At 49.3% G+C, this 23,076-nt stretch overlaps 1 protein-coding gene across 6 annotated transcripts in view, besides 1 other annotated feature; it reads right to left on the bottom strand.

Annotated features, from left to right (window-relative positions):
* KCNIP1 (potassium voltage-gated channel interacting protein 1) overlaps window positions 1–23,076 on the bottom strand; it is a 383,146-nt gene that overhangs the window by 128,495 nt on the left and 231,575 nt on the right. The gene's annotated exons all lie outside the window — the stretch shown is intronic.
* Window positions 9,923–11,122: an enhancer, noted in NCBI's record as "P300/CBP strongly-dependent group 1 enhancer chr5:170024020-170025219 (GRCh37/hg19 assembly coordinates)". NCBI's record gives its function as "activates an origin of replication core promoter dependent on BRD2, BRD4, P300/CBP, MED14 and CDK7 cofactors, with strong dependence on P300/CBP, by STARR-seq in HCT116 cells {active_cell/tissue: HCT116}" and the evidence as "EXISTENCE:reporter gene assay evidence [ECO:0000049][PMID:35650434]".

Here is a 23,076-nt window from a genome sequence, read left to right as displayed (position 1 = left end):
GGGGCTGGAGAAGGATGTGGGGTGTGTGTGTGTCACAGGCTTCTGGGTCAAGTTCTAGTGCCTACCTTCTTCTGTCCTCACTCCTTGATCTGGACCTTCTAGCCTTCAGGGCAGTGAGAGAATAAATGTCTATTGTTTTAAACCCACTCAGTTTGTGGTAATTTGTTGTAGCAGTCATGGGAAACAAATACAGCCCCCCAAATTCATTCTCCAAGAATATTGGCAAGCCATGTAGATTTTGTTGCGGGCTGTGAGGGGAGAAGAGGGAAAACTTTCTCGTCACACATCCTGTGGCTGGAAGGCTCCACCTTAGGGATCGCTGCCCTCCGGAATCCCTCCCCGCCGGCTGAGACCCTCATCTCACCTCCACAAACCTCTCTGTGACCTTGGAGTGTCCTGGCCAGTTTCTCCATTGTCACTTTCAGTGTGAATAGTCTATCTGGGCAAACCAAAGGGCCCTCCTTGAAACAGCCACTGAGGAGGCAGGGATGAACCCTTCGTGAGAAGACACTGCATTTTCTTTGCCATGATTGGAATGAGCATGAACTTTAGAGTCAGACAGATTTGGGGTTCACCTCAGGCTCTGTCACTCACTGCTGGGAGATCATGACCTCTCAGCACCTCGTCACATTATCCCTAAAGTGGGGGCTAGACTGCTCACCTCTAAGGGTCACTGTAGAAGTAGGAAAGGCCCCCAGCCCTGGGTTTGGAGCATACGGTGGTCATCACTCTGTAAATGATTGTTTATGTTTGATAATGATGCTTAGATAAACTGAGCACTTACTGTGGCTCAGGAGTTAAAGCTTTTTACTGGGATTAGCTCATTTACTCTTCATCACTACTCTACGAAACGGGAATTGTTTTCATCATCCCACTACACCCCTGAGAAAATGGAAGCACTGGAGGCTAAATAACGAGCTGAAAGTGACAGTGACAATTAAGTAGATCCGAACCAGGGCAGGCTGATCCCAGAGCCACACCCTTGGGCATGAGAGACCAACAGAAGCGCGACAGACGGAGCCGTCCTGTCTAGTCTGTGCATGCTGGTGAACAGGAGGTGGTCCTTCCTCTAGCCTCAACAGGAGGCTTGAGGCATTGCCCGCTTGAGAACACATCCTGGGGAAAGGAACTCTCAGGGGCAGCTGTGCAGCTAAGAATCTGATCTCAGGCCAGGGGACAGAAGCCTGTGGTTGATACTGGCTAGTTTGGCCCCAGCCTAGGGCGCTGCCTGGTGGGAAGGAGCAGTTTCTTGGACAAAGTAGTGCTTCGGTGGAGGGGAACCAGAGCAGCAGAAGAAGGAAACAGTGGATGCTGCATTCATCATGAGGTTCTGCAAAGAACAAGTGAGAGTGGGCCTGGGACACTGCAGGGACGGCTGTGAGCGTGGCCGTGTGGACATAGACTGGTGGGGTAATGGTTAAGAATTTTAGTAAGTGTTACTATGAGGATCGGATGAGGTCGCACATGTGCACTAGACAGGTCTCACGGCCTGCCCCTCCCGGGTCCCAAACTGCCCAGTCCACAGCCCTGGAAGATGGAAAAAACATTTGAGATGGCCACCTTCTGGGTCAGGGACTCCAGGCTCCTCTCATCTTCCTGTTCTCCAGCCAGTCTGATTGATCACAAAGGCTATCAGTCATTTAATCATTTTATAGTTGGTTGAGAGATCTCTGCCTGGTGATTAAAAAGTAAAAAGAGCCTCACACCCACTGGAAGGACCATAAAAACAAGAACATTGATGAGGATGTGGGGAAACTGATACCCTTGCACCTTGCTTGAGGGATCGTACAATGGTGCAGCTGTTATGGAAAACTGTTGGGCAGTTTCTCAATAAGTTAAACACAGAGTTACCATATGAGCCAACGATTCCACTCCTGGGTATATACCCCAAAGAATTAGAGACAAGTGTTCAAATAAAAACTTGTACATGAATATTTATAGCAGCATGATTCACAATGGTCAAAATGTGAGACAATCCAAAGGTTCATCAACTGATGAATAAACAAAACCGTGTGGTATATCCACACAATGGAATGTTACTCAGCCATAAAAAGGGATGAAGTGGCCAGGCGTGGTGGCTCACGCCTGTAATCCCACCACTTTGAGAGGCCGAGGTGGGCAGATCACCTGAGGTCAGGAGTTCAAAACCAGCCTGGCCAACATGGCAAAACCCCGTCGCTACTAAAAATACAAAACTTAGCCAGGTGTGGTGGTACGTGCCTGTAATCCCAGCTACATGGGAGGCTGAGGCAGGAGAATGACTTGAACCCAGGGGGCAGAGGTTACAGGGAGCTGAGGTCGTGCCACTGCACTTCAGCCTGAGCAACAGAGGGATACTCCATCTCAAAAAAAAAAAAAAAAAAAAAAGAACAGGGTTGAAGTACTGACCCATGCTACAACGTAGATAGACCCTAAAACATGGTGCTGAGAGAAAGAAGCCAGGCACAAAAGGCCACATATTGCACGATGCCTTTAAATGAAATATCCAGAATAGGCAAATCCACAGAAACAGAAAGCAGATTGGTGGTTGCCAGGAGTTGGGGGAGGTGGGAATGGGGAGTGGCTTCTTAGTGAATACGGGGCTTCCATCTGAGGTGATGAGAAAGTTCTGGAACCAGATAGTGGTGATGGCTGCATGCCGTTGTGAATGTAATTAATGCCACTGAATTGCATCCTTTAAAATGGTTAAAATAGTACATTTTATGTTATGTGTATTTTCCCACAGTAAAAAAATTAAGATGGGCTGAGTATATCCAATCCTTTCCCTGTCTTGCAAAGAAATTGCAGCTGGGAAATAGCAAGAAAATAAGGAAGCAGGAGCAGAGGCTAAATGGTCTTGAAGCAGAGTAGGGCCAGAGGGGTTCCCAGACCAGCCGTCATAGTGAGGACAGAGGGACTCAGATGAGCAGCACCCATGGGAGGTCGGGGCACATGATAAGGGAGGGTGGGCAGGTGGCTGGTGGGCAGGGGCATGGCAGATTCTCATCCCCATTCTGAAATGAGGGAGCTAAGAGGTGAGCACATCTCATGAGGCCTGTGACACAGAGCCAAAAATCAAACCCAAGTTGGCCTGCGAAGCCCAGGCCTTTCACTGCTGTGCCACACTCTCCTGCAGGTTGGGTGGACATGTGCCTGAGTCCTTTCCTGAGCTGGAGGAGGGAAAGAGGGAGACCCCCTGGCTCAGAACCAAGTCTGCTCAGGAAAGAAGCAGCACAGGTGGCCAGTGCAAATGGCCTCTTTTTTGTTGAAGGTTGTTTGCCAGATCTTCCTTGCTTCTGTGCTGTGTGTGGACACGCACACCAGCAGGTCCTCTCCTGGGGGGGCTGAACCTGTCTTGGGTGCAGTTCCCAGTCTTCTGGTGGGGCAAGGCCACTGAGCCAGTTCCCAGGGGTGGGACAGATCTGGGAAATGCCCTGAGCAGCTCTGCATGAAACCTCCTGCTGTCAGTGCCTGGACAAAGGCTCTCCAGCTTCCACTACATACCAGGAGTGAGCAGGGAATAGGACCTCAATTTTCTGTGGCTTCCTCACCCCCAGGGATTCTTGGGGACAAAATGGCCCACATTTATGCATACAAAGCCTCGCCATTCACAGAGATCCATTGGCTTCTCCCTGCAAGTGTGAGATGAGCCACAGCAAAGGGCACAATGAGATGGGGCCAAGGATCCTAAATGTTCTGCTCAGCCTCAGTGGGGCATCTGCTGTTCCTTTCTTCTGTTCCTCCGATCCCCGCCCTTGAAGGACTACTGTGTCCAACATACACCGCTGTCCCCATGGGCTCTGGCATCAGAGTGGGCTGCCAGGGCTCCAGTGCACCCTGACCTCACCTCCACCAGATGTCATGAACCAGTATGTTCCCAAGTCCATTTCAGCTGGGTTTCAGTCACTGGCAACCGAAAGAATCCTAATAGCGAGGACCTGAGATTTCCCTAGAATGGAACCCTCCCTTCTCCCCGGCCCTTCCCATCTTGGTAAATGGCGCCACCTGTTGGGCAAGTCAGACACCTGCAAAGCCCCTCCTCTTCCCTGGTTCCCACCACCGGGCCGTCACCATGCCAGGGGAACTTGTCCCTTCCTCTCCATCCTACTTCAAGTTTTGTCAACTCTTGCCTCAACAGTTTTCTTCTCCAGTTTCACAGAAACTTCACCTGTACCCCAGAGACTCCTTTACTCACAGTTTCTTCCCCTCCACCTCCTGTTTCTCCCTGAATCTACCCCCTAACAGTGAAGACAGTGGTTTTCCTGAAACACAAATGTCATTCCCTGTCCTGGCTGTCAATAACCCACATCATCTGTAGACTAAATTTCAGATGCTTTCTGACTTGGCATTCAAGGCCCTGCCGGATCTGGGCTCCATGTGTCCTCAGCCTCAGCTGGGGCCCTGGCCCAACCACATGGTGATCTGAGAGTGTGGCAGGCTCTTCTCTCCCCACCTCTGCCTTTGCTTGTGTGGCCCTGTGCTGGGACACCCTCTGTTCTCTATCTGGCTAGCTGGTCACCACTGCGTCCCTACCCTCCCATCCCTCCACTGCCTCCTCCTGCCCCAAGGGTCCTGCTCAGACCCCTGTGCACAGCCTATCTTGTCACATGTGTAGCCCTGTTTACTCCTCTGTCTCTTTGAGCTCTGTGCATCCGGGGTTGGCATCTGTCTCGTTTGTCACTGTGTCCCTGGCTCCCAGCACAGGGCCTGCCACACAGCAGGAGCTCAACATGGAACCAGTAAATCCGTTAATGGAAAACGATCGCTGAGTCTGAGCTCAGGGCTCTGTACTCTCAAGTGACGGAAGTGGAAGCTTTTCCTTCAGCCCCTCCTCCCCGCCAGAGGTGTGATTTGGACCATTGAGGTTCCTCTTTGCAGCAATTCAGCTCAGCAGAACCTCCAGCGACACTTTGAATTCCTGTAAATTACTTCCCTGCTATGACTTGTGAGCCAGGTTGCCAAGCAACGGAAAGGGATTTGGTCCTTATCAAAGGGCCTCATCTGCACATTATGCATTGGAAAGATGTCCGAAAGCAGGTTTGGGGTGGGTGGGATCCCTGGGTGGGATCCCACTCCTTCGCCCCCTGCCCTGCTGTGTGCACCAGCCTTAGCTGGGGCCTAGCCCCTGGTCCTGGAAGGAGCTAGCCATGTTGGGGGCACCCGGGACTTCTCTTTCTGATCTGCCATCCAGCTGGCTCACTCGGGGCCAGGGGAGGAGAGTGTGCTCACTAACTGTGTGATGCGGCGCCGAACCTTGGGACCACATGCAGTGGAATCAGAAAGCTCAGGGCTTGCATCTCATGACTGGCACCTCACCTTGCGCCCTTGGGAAGGGGAAGCTCCTTTTCCTGGCTCCTCTGGTTTTTTCATCTGGCCCCTGTAAATATGGAGACCCATCCGCCAGGGCCAGGAGGGTGAGATGAGGTGACTGGCAAGGAGCCTGTGGTGATGCTTCTTCCTGGTTTGTTCTTAGTCCTTGAGTCTATCCCTGTCCTAGGTTCATGGAAGCCACAGCACTGTCTTGTCAGGACCACTGTGTCCAGCACTGAGTGAGTGAGCCACCAAAGGGAAACGAGAACAGTGGTCACCGCTGTGGTCCTTTGGGAATGTTCTGTCAACCATCTTAAAAGTCACAAACTGCACGGCAGGCAGGTAGATGCTCACTTCCAAATTTCCTTCCAACACTGAGGATTTTTCCAACTGCTGTAACTGGGCACCTGCCCCAGACCAGCAGCCAAGCCAGGCATCCCGTCCTCTTCCTCCTGAGGGCTCCAGGGATCAGCTGTTCCTGTCTCCACTGGCATTGAGGCCCAGCGGTGGGATTTGATTCCAGGTCTGCTTGGTCTGAAAGTCCCTTGCGGCTAAGATGCAGAGGAGGGAAGTGGTGAGTGGGAAGGGCAGTGTGAGGCAAGGTGGGAGGACCAGATCAGTGCCACGGCCCAGGACCCCATTTATAAGTATGTGTTGACTGACTTACTGTCCCCAAAGCAAAGGATGGCCATGCACTATACAGGAGCTGGTCTTACACTTTCACAGTTCCACAAGAGAAAGTTATCACAGAAAGGTTGGCATGTGCTGTGGGGTGATGGCCACTGGGATTCTAGGGTCTCTGAATCACACACAGAGGCAGCCTCCTGCCTCACCCCAGAGGGCAGAGAGCCTGGGGCGGTGTCATTTGACCCAGACTCAGCCCAGTCCTCCGGCACCATCTCGGTTTCTGGCAGCATCTGTCCCCTGCTGCCTGCTCCATTCCCCATTGCCAGGGCCAAGGCCCAGGTAAGACTCCAGACAGGTCCTGCCTCTTCAAAGGCCCCTGCTCGACGTCCGCAGGCAGCAGCCACCGCCAGTCCCTTACCATGCTCGATGCCTCCGTTACAGTGCAAAGCACACATTCCAACCAGCCTCTCCCTGCCGGCCTGTGGGCTTCCTGAGCACAGGAATGGGATCTGGCCCTTCTGTGGCCCAGAGCAGGTGTTTAGTATAATTGTTGAAGGGCGAAATGAGTGCAATCTTTTTTCTGCTTCCTTCACTGCTGAATTATTTATTGTCTCTGCTCCTACCTGCCCTCAAATTTCATTCAATTTCCTTCTTCCGTCTCGCATGGCTTTTTAATACAACATGTGTCCTATTGGGATTAAAAACTAAGAGAAGCCCTGAACAGATAAACTGCCTCATTCTAAGACAGAGCCCTGGAGCTGGAGCCCTGGGTTTTCGGGACAAAGCAGAAGCCAGGCTGAAGTTTCCCGGGACGTTCTAGTCCAGCTCCCGGATGATGTTCCAGCTTCTGCCTCCTTCTCCTGTGATGTCTCTGGGGATAGCTGGCAGCTGACTGTGGTTCCGATCCATTGCTCCCATAATTACTTCCAAATGTCATTTTCTTGAAGCCATATTCTCCTCTACACCGCTGTGACTCCCAGCCGTCCCCGGCATGTGTCCCATTAGCTCCAAACCAGGAGCTGGTGTATTTAAAAGGCACTGCAGCCCAGTCTACAGCCTTAGCGCGCAAACTGCAACAACGCTGCTCTGTACACAGAGGGAAGCGACGCAGGTGTTGTGTTTGTAATCTTTAGAATCTTTGCCATTTTAAAAATATGAAGCCCATTTTATAGAGGAGGAATTAAACTCAGAGAGGCTAAGTGACTTGTTCAAGGTCACACAGCTGGTAAGTGGGAGAGCTGGAATTTGATATGAAGTCTGTCTAGGTAGAGCCCGATTCTGAAGTGCAGTGTTGCCAAACATTCATTGGCCATCTGCTTGCTGCATTCCAGACCCTGCACTAATCAATTTATATGTGCGATCTCATTACACCTCACAGCGACCGTGGAGTGTGAGGAGCAGCGGGCTAGCTTGCCCAGGGTCGCACAGCTAACACATGGCTGAGTGGAGATCTGAATCCAGGCCCTTTTGGATGCAGAGCTTAAGCTCTAACCATTTGCTGTCCTGCCCCTGCAAATAGTACCTGCCTACTGAATGCAGGGACCAAGCTAGGCCCTTAGGAGACAGCCATGAATGACATGCTCCAGGGAGAAGATGACAAGGCAGTCATCAGTTTCAATGTAATGTGAGAAGTGTGGTGTGAGGGTCTGTCCAGGGTGGGTGAGGTAGAGAGGAGGTAGGCGTGGGCACACAGAGGATGGGGTGCTACCTGGTGCTACCAGGTGCTACGTGGCCTGATGGGGTTGGGGGCACCAAAAAAGGCTCCCAAGAGTAGGAGAACATTAAGCTGGATCTTAAAGGACAAGCTGGTTTTGGGTGAGAAAAAAACAAAAAAGGAAGAGAATTCCAGGCACAGGGAACAGCTGTGCTAAAGCCTGGACGCTAAATACAGCATGATGTGTTCAGAGAAATGCTGGTCATTCCGTGTGGCATTGGCCAAAAACTCCAGGTGGTGAGAAACTTAAGGTGAGGCTGGAGCCAAGGCAGGGCAGGGCTGGTCGACTTAAGTACGGGATTAAGAACAGTAGCGTAAGGACCAGTTACCTGAGTTCAGGTCCCAGCTCTACTACTAACTAGCTGTGTGGCCCTGAGCAAGTTAATTGACCTTTCTGGGCTTCAGTTTCTTCATCTGAAGGGGTGACCCTGAGAGAACCTACACCACAGGGTTGTCTTTATATGGCTTGAATGAGCTGGTGCCTGTAACAATGCCTGGCACATCATGTGCTCTCAATAAATGTCATCTTAGGATTGATGAGGACCTTGGGCACCAAGCTAAGAAGCTCCACTTTTCTCCTAAACAGAATAGGCAGTGGAAAGGGAGTGAATCACTTTAAAAGGACGGAAGTGCTGTGTAGAATATATTTTCTTTCAATAAGTGCTTGTTTGACTAAGTCCTCTTTTGTCCTCACTGAAATACCTCCCATAAGTCAACGCTGGAGGAAGGGGGAAGAGGAGAGGATATGCAGGTGAAACTCATCTGCTTGGCTTCCAGGTTGTCTGGTTTCTTCCTCTTCTGCCAGTGTTCTGACTTCTCGCTCTTCCCCACCCCTAGGTCCATTGCACGGGAACTTCTCGCTCTTCCCCACCCCTAGGTCCATCACACTCCCGTGCTCATTCCACAGTCCTGAGCATCATGGAATCTCGGGGTGGGAGGGCACCTCTGAGCTCCACTTGTCTACTTCCTTCTCCTCCACCAGAAAGGCTCTACTTGATTGTCTCCAATGATGGGAGACTCATTCCTTGATACACAGGGTATGTAAGTCTGAAGGGTTGAGTAAGACTAGTTGCCCTGATCTCATTTGAGATGTGGGAAAACTAAATCAGATGCCATCATGACATTGCACGCGATTCCTCGGGGAGTGAGGAGTCTTCTTACCTGTGTCTGGATGAGAGGCCCCAGACCAAAAAGGGATGCACGGTGTGCTGCGGTGACAACTTTTCCCTCCATTGTAATCATAATAGCTAGCACTTATTGAGCGCTACTGTATGCCTAGTAGTTTGTTTTAGCTCATGTTAATTGCTGATTCCATCGTCACCTGTGATTAATGGCAAATTTTCAGAGAAGAAATGTGGTAGAGGAAGGAGGAGTGAGTCAGTTCTATCTGGTGCTCCTTCCAGTCTCTGCCTCTGGTTAAGACACCAGCAGCCCTCAACCCCACGGCAGCCTGTGGGTCTGCACAGGATATTGAGATCTGCAAACTGCCTTACTTATGGGCCGGGGCCTCAGTCTTTGGCTCTCTGCCCTCTCTTCCTCTTCTGCCTCCCCTCCCACCCCACCAAACACACACACACACACACACACACACACACACACACACGCGCACACACACACAGCGGGGCTATGGGAACGAGCACATCAGATGGCCTCAGGGCCTGTTTGCATTCAGTATCCTGCTTCAGCTTTGGCATCTATGATGACAGGAAGCTCCTGCCCCTACATGGCCTCTGCTGACTTCTGTCCACTGGTCCCTTGCAGAGCAGGGGAAATCCCTGTTCTCGAGAGGGCCCTTCTGAAGTGAGAAGATAACTTGTTGACACCTCCCAGGCCTCCCCTCTCTGTGTGAGTTTAAGCTCTCCTCTGCAACCAGCTCCTCTGTGTCTTTGGATAAAAGTTTCCTGAGCCTCTCTAGGACTCGAGTCCACCCATGTCCTGGTTCTTTGCTTTTTCCACTTGCTTTTTTCTGGGGGTTTGCTTCTATACTCACAGGGTAGGTACCTTGTCCGGGGCACACAGAGAATGGGTTGGCCAGAAAATGGTAGTTAAAGAATTTGAACCCAGGCTATCCAACTCCAGGGACCACAGCCAGGTGTCCAGCTCAAGGTGGGCATTCACCAAACATGGACTCAGATGACCCTTTTCAGTGCCTTCTCTCTGACCTGCCACCTCCTTTCCTGGTTCCTGCTGGTCTGGACTCCCACTGGTGATCTATCAGAGAGGGAGGGCTGGCAATTCCTGCCTCCTCCCAGCTTCCCTTGGCTGCCAGAGAAGCAGGTGGCTTCCCCTCATCTCCCATTCAAAGGGTGTCGAGCTGGTGGAAGGCAGATGAATGAGCTCCTCAGCCAGGGAAGATTCTGTTGCTAAAATACACGGTCTGATTAGGAGTGATTGAAGGGCTAGAGACAGCGACTGCAGTTGGCTGTGATTTGTTCCGATCTGAAGTAGTTCTAAACAAGTCACCGGGAGGCAGGAGTGGGGGCCACAGAGTTCAGTAGCACAGGGCTTGGCAGGGATACATTTCCTGTGGATGCTGGGGCCCTTTCCAGCAATTCCGGACAGAGTTTTCAAACAGCTTTTGAAATCGGATTCGGTGCATTTATTTTGTCTTGTTTCCACTTGGCATGAAAGCTTCCCCTTTGTGTCTTTCTCTCTCTCTCTTTTCTTTCTTTCTTTCATATATATATATATATATATATATATATATATATATATATATATATTTATCTCTCTCTCCAGCATCAGAAGTGAGCTGTAAATCAAGTGGAGGTGGCTTGGGAAACCGAAACCAGCCTGGTATGGAATAATGATGTTATCTGTGGCTCTAGATCAGCCATGACACTGCCTCCCGTGTTGTCTGACAAGGAGAATCTGCTTGAGGGAATTCATCCTGTCAGGATTGAAGGCAGTAATTGGGGCCAGTGATTCATGACCCCTTTATGGGCTCATGAATACATTCATCTCCCAGATTTATCTCATTTCTAAAACCCATGGTCGTCAGTTCCAGCCAGAGGTGGTATGTGTGTGCGGGGGTGGGTGGGTTGGCTGGCATGGAGGGAGACGCCTCTTTGCAAGCACAGATAAAGGGAGAGCGCTCAGGAAATAAGGCTCAGTGAAGAGGTTTCACTTAGGTGGTTTGTGGGATGACTGACTCAGCCTGCAACAAGGCCTGATAGCTCATCCTTCCCTAGCACGGGAGAATGAGAGTCAGTCCCTTTATTTGTCACAGCTGCTTTGGTTTGAGTCATAGGATTGCTGCAGCTGCAAGTCACTGTCCTGCTCCTGGCCTTTAAACTGGATTGAACCAGCCACCCACCGTGCGGGCCTAAATGTTCCTTCTAGGATGATGACATTGGACCAAGTCCTAACAGAGGCAGGATAGACCAGTGGTTCAGAGCTCGGATGCTGGAGCCGGATCAGCTGGGTTCAGACCCTGGCCTTCCCTGTTAGCAGCTGCATGAGCTTCAATATGTTACTTAAATTCTGTGCCTTGGTTTCCCAAGGTAAAACTCACCTACAGCATAATTGTGCAGCTGAAGGGAGTTAATACCTATTCAATACTGGTGCACAGCCAGTGCTCACTCAGCGTGAGCTCACACTACTCATGTTCCCTTGCTGTGTCTGCTTCCCAGAAGCTCTGATCCTTGATTTTGACATCTGCTTCCAGTCCCATGGTTGGGGACCCCCTGGACAACCTCCATTTGGCTTCTAGCATCTGTGCTTTCTGTATGCATTTTAGCCCTGATCATAGCTCCAGCTCTGGCCTCCCAGAACCCCACTGATTAAGCAGGTCTCAAACTGGATGGTGTTAGACAGGATGAGAGCTTTGAGATCATTATCCAGCAGTGTCTGTTCACAGATGGCCGAGGCACTGGCCCCCAGTGGTTTGGCCAGTAGCTGGCAGAGCTGGCGCTCCTGGCTTCTAAACTCATGCTCTCTCCATGGCTCCATGCTACGTGGGGTGGTGTTTCCTCTATTGTGCCATTCCTCTTCCCTACTGTGGCTTAAGACAGAGTCCTGATTCATGGATACAGTCCTGCTCGCAGATCTCCAGAACACATCCCTGAGAGACTCAGGTCTCTCAAACAACACTGCAGTCTGGCGTGGGTCTCTAAGGAAGGAGTTTCTCCCTTAGCTCCTGGTCCAAGAGGCAGCTGCCCATGATGACAGCACTTTCATCTGGCAGCTGTCCTGACAGTTGATACTATGGGTGTGATGGGCACAGGGCATCAGTGTTCACAGAGAAATGTGCTGACTTACCAATGGACAGGTGAGCCTGCCTGTATTAAGGTGGGGACTGGGGGAATTCTATTCTTCTAGAATTAGTTGTTTGAATTATTGGCTCTTTCTTGAATACAAGAGAATAAACAAACACTTTGTGTGCTGTTTCTTTCTGCTGCTTTCGAAGCCCCGTTATAAAGGCCCTGGAGCTTCAGAAACAACTTTTTGAGTCCCTGCATCTTAGAGGGAGCCTCGAGTAACCTGGCATTTGCATTGCTGGAAGCTCTGCTGTGCAAGCTAGTTTGAAATGAGTCTGGATGAAGCTCACCACCCGAGACACTGACTCCCACATGCATCTCACATGCACACCTTCATTAAGGTTAGCAGAGCGTCTTGCATGTCAAACATATTGTCTAAAACCATGACACAAACTTGTAAAATGTAAAGAGATGATGGACTGATCCACTGTAAAGAGCTTGGCTCTTTGGAGTTAGAGTCTTGGGTTCAAATCTAACCATTTGCTAGCAGTGTAACCTTGGCAAAATCATCTTAGATCTCTCAGTTTTAGCTTGCCCTCTGTAAAATGGGATAGAATATTTAACCTGCAGAGATGTTAGAAAGATTGAATGAGCTAACACAGGTGATCAATAGGTGCTTGTTTTTTTCTCCTTGCCCCTTCTTCCCACATTCTGAAACCTACGCACTCAAGGCCATCCTAGACCATATTCTGGAGGGTGGTCCTGGAGATGGGCAGGGAATCATCCCAGAGGGTCCTGCAGGGAGCCCTTCCTTCCAGCATCATGGGCTTCTTTATCAGAGCCATTCCAAGCAAAGCGCTCAGCATGGGGATTGGCTGCCCATGCAGGCTTCTCTGCTTCTTCAGCCAGCCACACATGCATGTGAGTTATTTTCATGGACCACTCCCAATCCCACCACTGATGGAACTGGGCACAGCCCCTCAGACGCAGCTCCCTGGTCCAAGGAGCCGTCATCCTAATGGACTCTGCTTCAGAGCAGAAACTCAAATGGGTTTTATCACTGCTTCCCCTTCACTGGTACCGCTGCCCTCCATTTTTAAACCCCACCCCACTCCTCACCCCCAGTCCCCAACCCCAGACAAGCCCCATCACAACCAATGAATACCTGTCATTCAGGACTCTCTGGGGAAGCTAGGACTGGGGAGATGCTTGGACTTTGGTGGCCTTGAAGTGGGCCTTGACTCTTATACCTGCCACAGAGGAAATGGTGTGGGGGACCTGTGTTGACTGAGTTGGATTGGCCCGGTACTCCCTCCCACCTAGCCGCTCATGTGGCATTTAAAACTGCATGGCCAAACTGTTACACTCCTCACGAGAAACCCAACAGGAGCTATGGGTAATGTTTGCCACATGCAGACACCGTGGAAGGCCCTACTTTCCATAACTCATCAGTGGGACTATTGTTATTTCCAATTTACAGATAAAGAAACTGTAGTTAGGCTGGGTGCAGTGGCTCATGCCTGTAATCCCAGCACTTTGGGAGGCAGAGTGGGGTGGATCACCTGAGGTCAGGAGATCAAGAGCAGCCTGGCCAACATGGTGAAAACCCATCTCTACTAAAAATACAAAAACTAGTTGGGTGTGGTGGTGGGCAGCTGTAATCCCAGCTACTCAGGAGGCTGAGGCAGGAGAATTGCTTGAACCTGGGAGGCGGATGTTGCAGTGAGCCGAGACTGTGCCACTGCACTCCAGCCTGGGTGGCAGAGCGAGACTCTGTCTCAAACAATAATAAAAAAAAAGAAACTGTAGTTAGAGTCACTAACATGCCAGCCCCACACTGGGAGTAGTTGTCTTGGAACCCTGGCTTTCATACTATGAAGTGCTGCTCTTGTAACCACATGGCCATACCCCTCTTCTGGTGGGGAAAGAGTCAAATACCATCTCTTTCTACCCAAGGTGAGGACAGACATACCCAAGATGGGACACTTCCTGAGGTGTCCAACACACTGTGGCTGGCTCTGTGCATCCTATTATTGGATTATTCCCAGCAGATGTGATTTATCAGGAAGGAAGAGGTACCAACAAAAATGAGGGAAGATGGGAATAGTCACGGAACTCCTACGGTGCTTCATACCCTACTGGGTATTGTTGAATATTCAAAGGTCCTGGGGTTGCCAATCTCTAGCTGTGTCTCCTAGGGAAAGTCATCCTTTGGAAGACTTGAGTCCCATAACATGGGAGGGGGGACCCTCAATGTCAGATGTCTCTTCCAAGAATTATATCTTGACTCAAGCTCTTGACACAAGATTGAATGAAGAATTATATCTTGTATTCTGTTATACAACAGAGGTCCATAAATGTTCACTGACTTTTCCAAGCTCACCTGAAGCTAGAGCCTACGTTCTTCCCACCACCTCAGGCATCCTCTTCTTTTTCTACAGTAATAGCTGGGAAGGGAAGGCCCCCAAACATGTATCCCCAAACTCCAGCCCCTTCCTGAGGTCCACGCTGCTGTGGCAACCCCTCCGGCTCCCTCCACTCAGGGAGAGAGTGACTGAGAACACAGGGATGAGGCCCCCCAGCCCCGCCCTGCCCAGCCGGGGATGATGTCTCGCTTAATGAGGGATTGTGGGAGGGTGGAAAACACACCCGATTTATCTTTGTTGCCTAAATACCTCTTAAATTCTCCCTTGAATACTTCTAATTCAGCAGAATGTGAACAATTATAGCAAGAAGCTATTCATAGGTGGAAGGGGGCTGATGGAATTATTTATCAAAGTGACATTTTAATTATAGTGAAGAATGAGTTTGTTGTCACTGAGATGGAAGGCGGTGTTACTCGGCCTCCACACACCCCTCCAAAGTAAATTACAAATGCTCCCCTCTCCGTGATATCTCTATTAGGTGCTGGGGATGGAGAAAGCCAATGGTAGGTTCTTTCTGTTAAACATTTCTGGAAGGAGGTGAGGTGACCCCCTGAGAGGGATTCTGCTTCATGCCAGGAGGTGTGGAGAGTCTCCAGAATACATGGGGTTGGCAGGTAGAAGCCAGATGGGGTCAGAAGACTGTCTCTGTTGTCTCTCCCACCCACCTGTGGATCAGGCCACCTGACCACATTATTCTCGCGTACACGCTCTTTTAAATGTAGTATATGTGCATGGCAAATTCCAACTATGTAAAAGCATAGAGAGTCGAAATTAAGTTACAGAAGTAAATGAGCCAATTTTCTTGACCTCTGAGGCAACCAGTATGTCCAGATTCTTCCGAATGAGTCTGGAAATAATCTACACATATAGAAGCATATCCATAGTCTGTGCTGACTTTGATTTTCTTCTTTGATTGTAGCTGGGCTATTTTACATCCCCAACTAGGAGGAATGCAAGCAGAAGGCACAGATTATGTTTCGGGCTTCTTGTGTTTGTCCGGAGCTTATAAGCATGGCAGTGTTAATTTCTACTATTTAGGCAGCACCTGCCACATGCTAGCCACATGCTTAGCACTTTGCAGAGGTCTTTGCTCAAATCTTCTAAACAATCCACTGAGAATTTATTTTCTCTCCCCATTTTGCAGAAGAGGAAGCCCAGGTTTCCAGCAGCTAACTCAAGTGATCAAGTCACCTGGGGACTTTAGGTGTGGCCTTGAGCTTGCATCCACTTATCCAGCATGTAAGAGATTCTGATCCATGGCTGCCACTGTGCCAAAGATGAGAAGTAGTCTCTGATTTCAAACCACACTCAATTTATGTAGTAGATGGGACAGGCAGGAGAGCAGATAAGTAAATCAACATGATGTTATGGTGCAATAATGTAGGTTTCATGAAATGTGCGTTAGGTTTGGAAAGAGAAAAACTGATGTTTCAATACAAGCTGTGTCATTTTCTAGCTGTGTGACCTTGGATAATTAACCTAGTCTTTCTAAGGTTTAGTTGGCTTTACTGTAACACGAACATACTAATATCCACCTCATTGGGGAGTTAGAAGGATTGGGAATACTATTTACAAAAGTATGAGTAGAGTTAACAGACATTTCTCCAAGAAAGATATATAAAAGGTCAGTAAGAACATGAAAAGATGCACCCATCACTAATCATCAGGAAAATCTACAAATCAAAACCTGCAAAGCAAACCACAATGAGAAACAACTTCACACCCATTAGGATGACTATTAATAAAAAAACAAACAGCAGCAACAGAAAATAACAAGTGTTGGTGAGGATATGGAGAAATTGGAACTCTTGTGCACTGCTGGTAGGAATGTAAAATGCTGCAGCTGCTGTGGAAAACAATATGGCAGTTCCTAAAAGAATTAAAAATAGGATTACCATATGATCCAAGAATTCTGCTTCTGGATACATATCCAAAAGAACTGAAAGCAGGGACTAATATTAGATATTTGCACAGCCATGTGTATAGCAGCATTATGCACAATAGCAAAAAAAGGTGGATGCAACCCAAATTTCCATCGACAAGTGAATGGATAAACAAAGTGTGGTATATACTTATAATGAAAAATTATTCAGCTTTACAAAGGAAGGAAATTCTGACACATGCAACAACATGAATAAAGTCTGAGGACATTATGCTAAATGAAATAAGCCAGGGTACAAATACTGTTGATTCCAATTATACGAGGTACCTAGAGTAGTCAAATTTGTAGAGATAGAAAATAGAATGGTAGTTGCTAGGAGCTGGGGGAAGAGGGAATGGGGAGTCGTTTAATGGGTACAGAGTTTTGGTTTTGCAAGATGAAGAACATTCTAGAGACAGATGGTGGTGAAGTTTGTCCAACAACGTGAAGGTACTTGGTGGTACTGAACTGCGCACTCCAAAATGGTTAAGATGGTAAATTTTCTGTTACATATATTTTACCACAATTTTTAAAAAACGAACTGGGAGATCTCGACAAGTGCCAATTCACTCTCCTTTCTTTCCCCTTTCCTCTTCAGCAAGCTAAGTAGAGCTTCCACCGCTGTCCAAGTCCTGAGAATACAGGCTGTGGCCCCTGCCTCCATGTGGCTCAAACTCTACTGGGAGGAAGGACACACGGTCAGGCAGTCATCACTCTTGTGATCTGTGCTGTGCTAGAGGTTAGCCTAGGACTCAGGGAAGCAGGAAGTGAGCCTGGATTGTTCGCATTTGCACATGTACACACCTCTGACTCAGCTTGAACAGATGGAAAATGACAGAGAACATTGTCTGGAGGAGCTGACATCTCTGCACATAGTAGATGCTCCATGGGCATGGTGGTTGGCTTGACAAAGGTGCACAGTGTCCTTGTTCTCTTCTCCTTCCAAGGGAAGTCTGTGTGGTCAGATGCCCAAGTTCTGGCCCAGGGGATAGGAGTGGAGGTGGTGCACCTCACTTCCAGGCCTGCCCCATACAAACCTGAGGCTTCCTCCAGGCTCCCTTTCCCAGCCAGCAGTGTAAGGGCGAGGATGGGGAGCTTCAGGATGGAAGGAGCCTGCATGCATGCAGATGCAGACATGCCCATCCACTCTGAGCTGCACTGGCTGCCATGGCAACGAGAAGTAAACTGTCATGGTTTCAGCCACAGACACTTGGGGCTGTTTGTTACAGCATTTGCACTGCTCTGACTAATACAGTCTGGCAGGGGATCTGATTGTTTGAAATGGAGACAGTCCCAGGAATGGTCAGAGTTATAGTTAATCCTCCCCAGTTAGGTGGTGAGGTAGCTGAGGCTGAAGGTGCAGGCAGCCTAGCGTGAGACTGGAACCTCCCTCACCCCTCCCATCACCCTCTGACCTAGTGCCTGCCCCAACACTGACCATCACCAAGCCATAAAGCAGAGTCCAACTGCAAATCCTCTACCGGTTGGATAGAAACGTGTCAGCCTCAGTCAGCCATCCCCTCCTTGGAGATCTCATTTCCACCTCCAGACTCACTTCTCCACTCTTGCTTTACCTGCCTCCCAGCCATCAGTTTAATCAGCAGCATGGGGCCCCCAGACCTCAAGCTCTCCTCAGAGGAGCTGTGTTGGGCAAATATCAAGGTGGTTGACGAGTGCCCTGGCTGGAAGTATCTTTGGCCCAAACTGGGTATCCAGATACTCTGGAATGACCCCTGTCTCTCTGAGGGTAGGTCCTGGGAAGTGTAAAACTCCCAACTACCTCTTCTTTACCTTCAAGGCCATCCCTGCAGGCTCTGAGTTTCCAAACTTGTGTCCAATAAAATCAACACCAGCACTTACCTATGATCGGCCATGCGCTATGCTCCAGGCCAGGCACTCTGCTCATACTTCCTATACATTATTCCTCCTAACTCCCGCTGGGAGTTCTGAGCCATCCCCATTCCCATTTTGCAGAGGGGGAAAGGAACACTAGGGGAGATGAAGTCACCACCCAAAGCCATGCATTGGCTGAGATGTGGGCCCTCCACTGACTGACTGCAGAGTCTGGTGCTCTGGGCTGGGCTTCAGGACTGGCCTGGAAGGCCAACAGGCTCCTAAGGCCAGCCTCAACCCATACCACACCACACCGCACCGCACCGCACCGCACACCACATCACATCACACCACACCACACCACACCACACCACACCACACCACACCACACCACACCACACCACATCACACCACACCAAACCAAACAGAAACAATTTAAGCACCTTCACATACTCCTTTCATTCGAGTCTGTGCCCTTACAGTGCCTCCTCCAAGGGGGCTTCCCTGACACTCATCTGAAACAAAAGTGCCCCAACCTTCCGCACTCTCCATCCCTCACTTTGCTTTGTTTTCCTGCACAGCATTTATCTCTGACCTTCTCTATTTACTTGTGTGTTTGTGTCGAGGACAGGGATGTTGTTTTATTCCCTGCTGTACTCCTGGCATCTACAACAATACCTGGCACTGAGTAGGTGTTCCATAAGTATATATGTTAATTAATTTAACATAGACTCTGAATACCTAATTAAAACAGAAAATAGCAGATACCACGTATTTGGTTCTTATTGTCAGGAACTATGCTAATGCTAACATGAAAGTATGAGCTCGCTGGCTGGGTGCGGTGCCTCACGCCTGTAATCCCAGCACTTTGGGAGGCCGAGGCGGGTGGATCAAGAGGTCAGGAGATCGAGACCATACTGGCTAACATGGTGAAACCCCGTCTCTACTAAAAATACAAAAAAAGTTAGCCAGGTATGGTGGCAGCACCTGTAGTCCCAGCTACTTGGGAGGCTGAGGCAGGAGAATGGTGTGAACCCAGGAGGTGGAGCTTGCAGTGAGCCGAGATCGCGCCACTGCACTCCAGCCTGGGCTACAGAGCGAGACTCTGTCTCAAAAAAAAAAAAAAAAAAAAGAAGTAAGTATGAGCTCATTTTATCCCACAGCAACCCTGAAGAGGTAGGCACAATTATTACACCCATTTCATCAGAGGGAAAAACTGAGGGTCAGAGAGGGGAAGCGACTTGCCTAAGGCCATCAGCAAGAAACAGAGGAGGGTAAAGAGCCTCAGTCTAAGTCCTAGGCCTGGATGCTGAACCCCTGCACTACATGTCCCTTTTCCCCCCTCACTGACCTTGGCTCTCAATCTTAGATCATTGACAGCCAGACCGAATCACAGGAAACAGCCTACACATGTGAAGCCTTGGGATAAAGCTTCCAGGGTCCCTTGGGAATATCTTATATTTTCTTCCCTGGGGGAGCTGCTACCCAGCAGCCACACTTCAGGAAGCTGAAGGATTTGGGGAGGCGAGGGGTGGGCTCTCTCTTGGTCCTGCTCTGAGCCTGCCTTTCTCCTGATTCCAACCCTTTAAACAATCACGTGGCATCCCCACAGGCAGGAGTGAGTGACACACACAACTACAAGCTGCTGCTCGCTTCTGTTCAAATCTTGCAATACTACAAATTATACATATAATCCAGTAGGGAAATAGGAAGTTCCCTTGAGTGTAAAGCTGAGTGGCTTTATAATGTGTGGGGTGGAGATAAAGAGCACTGGCCCTGATGCGAGGCAGCTGATGATGAGTTTCCATGGATTTCCACTTCCTGACTGTGTGGCCTCAGGTGACTGACTGCACCTCTCTGTGCCTCGGTCCCTCATCTGAGAAATGGAGTCAACAGTGACTGTCAGAACAGAGAAATTGTCCATCCGAGAAAGTGCACTGCATGGGGACTCAGTCTATGATTGCTTTCTTGGGTACCTCCCTGACTTTAAGTTCTAAGGCATCCAGTCTTACTTTTGGAAACTGAAAGATTGCACTCTCCAGCAGATCTGACCTCTGATGATTAAGGATACATTGATGAGCAAAGTAACAGGTCCTTAACCCATGAAAGCCAATTTCCTGTCTTGATCTTGAGGTCAGGCTTGCCTCAGTGCATGCTCTCTCTGAATGAATATCCATGGCCTCTACTGTGCCAAGCACTGAGCTGGCGATGGCAAGGACAACACCTGCCTGTAGTGGGTTCCCCCATGCTAGGTTGAATCATGGTTCCCTAGGGATGCATGTCCTAATCCCCAGAAGCTGTGAATATGTTACCTTACATGGTAAGAGAGATTTTGCAGATGTGATCAACTTAAGGATTTTGAGATGAAGAGATTATCCTGAATTATCCAGGTGAACCTGATGTAATCACAAGGGTCTTTCTCAGAAGGAGGCAGAGGCTCAGGGTCAGAGGAAGGCCATGTGATGACAGAAGCAGAGATTGGAGGGATGTGCTTAGGACATGGAGGAAGGGGCCGTGAGACAAGGAATGTGAGTGGCCTCCAGAAGCTGTAACAGGCAAGGAAACACTTTCCCCTGGAGCCCCCGGAAGGAACACAGCACTACAACACCTTGATTTGAGTCCCATAAGACTCATTTTGGACTTCTGACCTCCAGAACTGCAAGATAATACATTTATATTAGCTTTTTTTTTTTTTTTTTTTTTTTTTGAGACAGAGTCTCGCTCTGTTGCCCAGGCTGGAGTGCAATGGCACAATCTCGGCTCACTGCAACCTCCACCTCATGGTTTGAAGCCATTCTCCCACCTCAGCCTCTTGGAGTAGCTAGGACTATAGGTGCCTGCAGTCACACCCGGCTAATTTTTCTATTTTTGTAGAGACAGGGTTTCACCATGTTGGCCAGGCTAGTCTTGAACTCCTGACCTCAGGTGATCTGCCTACCTTGGCCTCTCAAAGTGCTGGGATTACAGGCATGAGCCACTGCACCCGGCCCATTTTTATTAGTTTTAAGCCACTGAATTTGTGATAATTTGTTACAGCAGCAACAGGAAACTCATACACCCTGCCCGGTCCATCCCACATTGTTCTGTATCCTGTGACTTGGTGTTTTTTGGGGCTGGCACCTTTACTTGCAATTAAAAACTTGTTGCCTATATATCTGTCTTCCCCACTGGGCTGTGAGCTCCATGAGGACAGAGAGAGCTCATCTATTCTGTTCACTGCTGTGTGGTCAGAGCTGAGCACAGTGGCAGGCATAGAGACACTGCTCAATCCACAGTTGTTGACTAAATGAATGGATGTTCCATCCCTGCCCTCCAGAAGCACACACAATGAAGTGTACAACTCTGCTCTCAAGGGGAGTGGTGATCTGTAAGTTGGGGAGATCAGAAATATACTGACAAGAGTAGCAACAGCAATATCCACTGTGAATCGAACACCCACTAGGCCAAGTACTGTGCTAAGCACTTTGTGAGCATGGCTTCATTCACTCCTAACAACAGCCCTGGAGAAGATGAGGGACTGAGACCCAGACTCAGAGAGATGAGGTAACTTTCCCCAGCCACACAGAACAATGTGGCATGGACCCGGCAGGGTGTGTGAGTTTCCTGTTGCTGACAGTAAATTTCAGCACATCTGTATAACTCCAAAGGTAATTCAATTTCTGCTGCAACAAATTGCCCTCTTGTGATTTCTAAGACCCATGAGGGCTTTTACATTCTTGCCTAATCTTCTCCCCCTCCTCTGCATCCCCATCAGCATCTTCATCATCATCGTCACCATCATCTCAATCACAACACCTTAATCCTGCACCTAATATATGCAAGGTACTGGGAAGGTTACAAAGAAGTAAACTTTGAGGCAGATGAATTGCAGAGGCCAGTCATGCATTTGGAGGATACACAGGTGACAGAGAGCAATCGATGATCATAATAGCCATCGTTTATTGAACACCTGCTGTATACCAGGCATGGGGACAAACTCTTTACACTCATAATCACATTGAATTCACATGACCACTGTGGGGTGGGTATTAATTATCCCCATTTTACAGATGGGGGCACTGAGATTCAGGCATGTTGCCCGGCCTGCCCAGCAGTGAGGCAGAAGGTTGGGACTTGGAAGCAGATACATCTAACCCCAAAGGCTGTGCGATCAACCACTACGCTCTTCAGGGCCAAGGCCATGTGCTTGAGAGGTACTAGAGGAGACATGCAGAACCACTGGCTCCTGCAGGGCTTGGAGGGCCAGGGTTGGGGATGCAGAGTGCTCTAAAGCACGGCCAGGGCTGGGAGACAGCCGTGCTGGTGAAAGGAGTGAAGGTGGCCCTGCGACTGGGTTCCATGTGAACATCTGTCATGTGCCACTCAGCGAATGGCCCCGTCTGCCCTGGGAGGAATATTCACTGTGAATGCATTCAGCTCTAATTTCCTCTATTCACGATGCCATTATCAGCCCCAAGTTCTAGACGCTGCTGGGTGCCCTGATTGGTCCGGTAACAACAGAACCATTTCCGGGGCGGGGGGTGAGAGGTGGGAGGCAGGGGGCTGACAGGCTCGCAGGTATTGTAGGCCTGTAATGGGCAGAAACTGCCATGCTGGGAGACTAGTGGGTGGAGCTGAACACCTCTGAGTAATAGGGAGTGGAGCCACGAGGAGTGGGGCTGAGAGGCTGGGGAGAGGCTTCGGGGAAAATACAGTGGAATGTGCCAGAGGAAGTCAACAAGCAACATGGTAAGTTCTGTGGCTCACATTTCTTCCACTGTAGGGTTCAAGTCCCGGCTCATCCCCTAACTCACTGATGACCCTGGACAAAACAGATCTCCTCACTGACCCTCAGATCCCCCCCTCTGAAAAATGAGGGAGTTCTCAGCTTAGGTGTTCTCTAAGGACACTGCTACCTGTGACATTTTATAGCTTAATTGGGCCAGAGCTATATCGTTAAGAGAGCAAGCTTTCAACTCAGATTTTTTTTTCTTTTTTTTCTTTTTGGTTTTGAATATTTTCGACTCTGGCTTTGCGACTTCTTAGCTGTGTGACCCTCAACCAGTTACTTTGCCTTTCTGAACCTCA

Source organism: Homo sapiens, chromosome 5 (assembly GCF_000001405.40).
Source record: "Homo sapiens chromosome 5, GRCh38.p14 Primary Assembly".
Taxonomy (NCBI): Eukaryota; Metazoa; Chordata; class Mammalia; order Primates; family Hominidae; genus Homo; species Homo sapiens.
The sequence above is the reverse complement of the archived record's forward strand: the minus strand, read 5'-3'. Positions and strand labels throughout refer to the sequence as shown.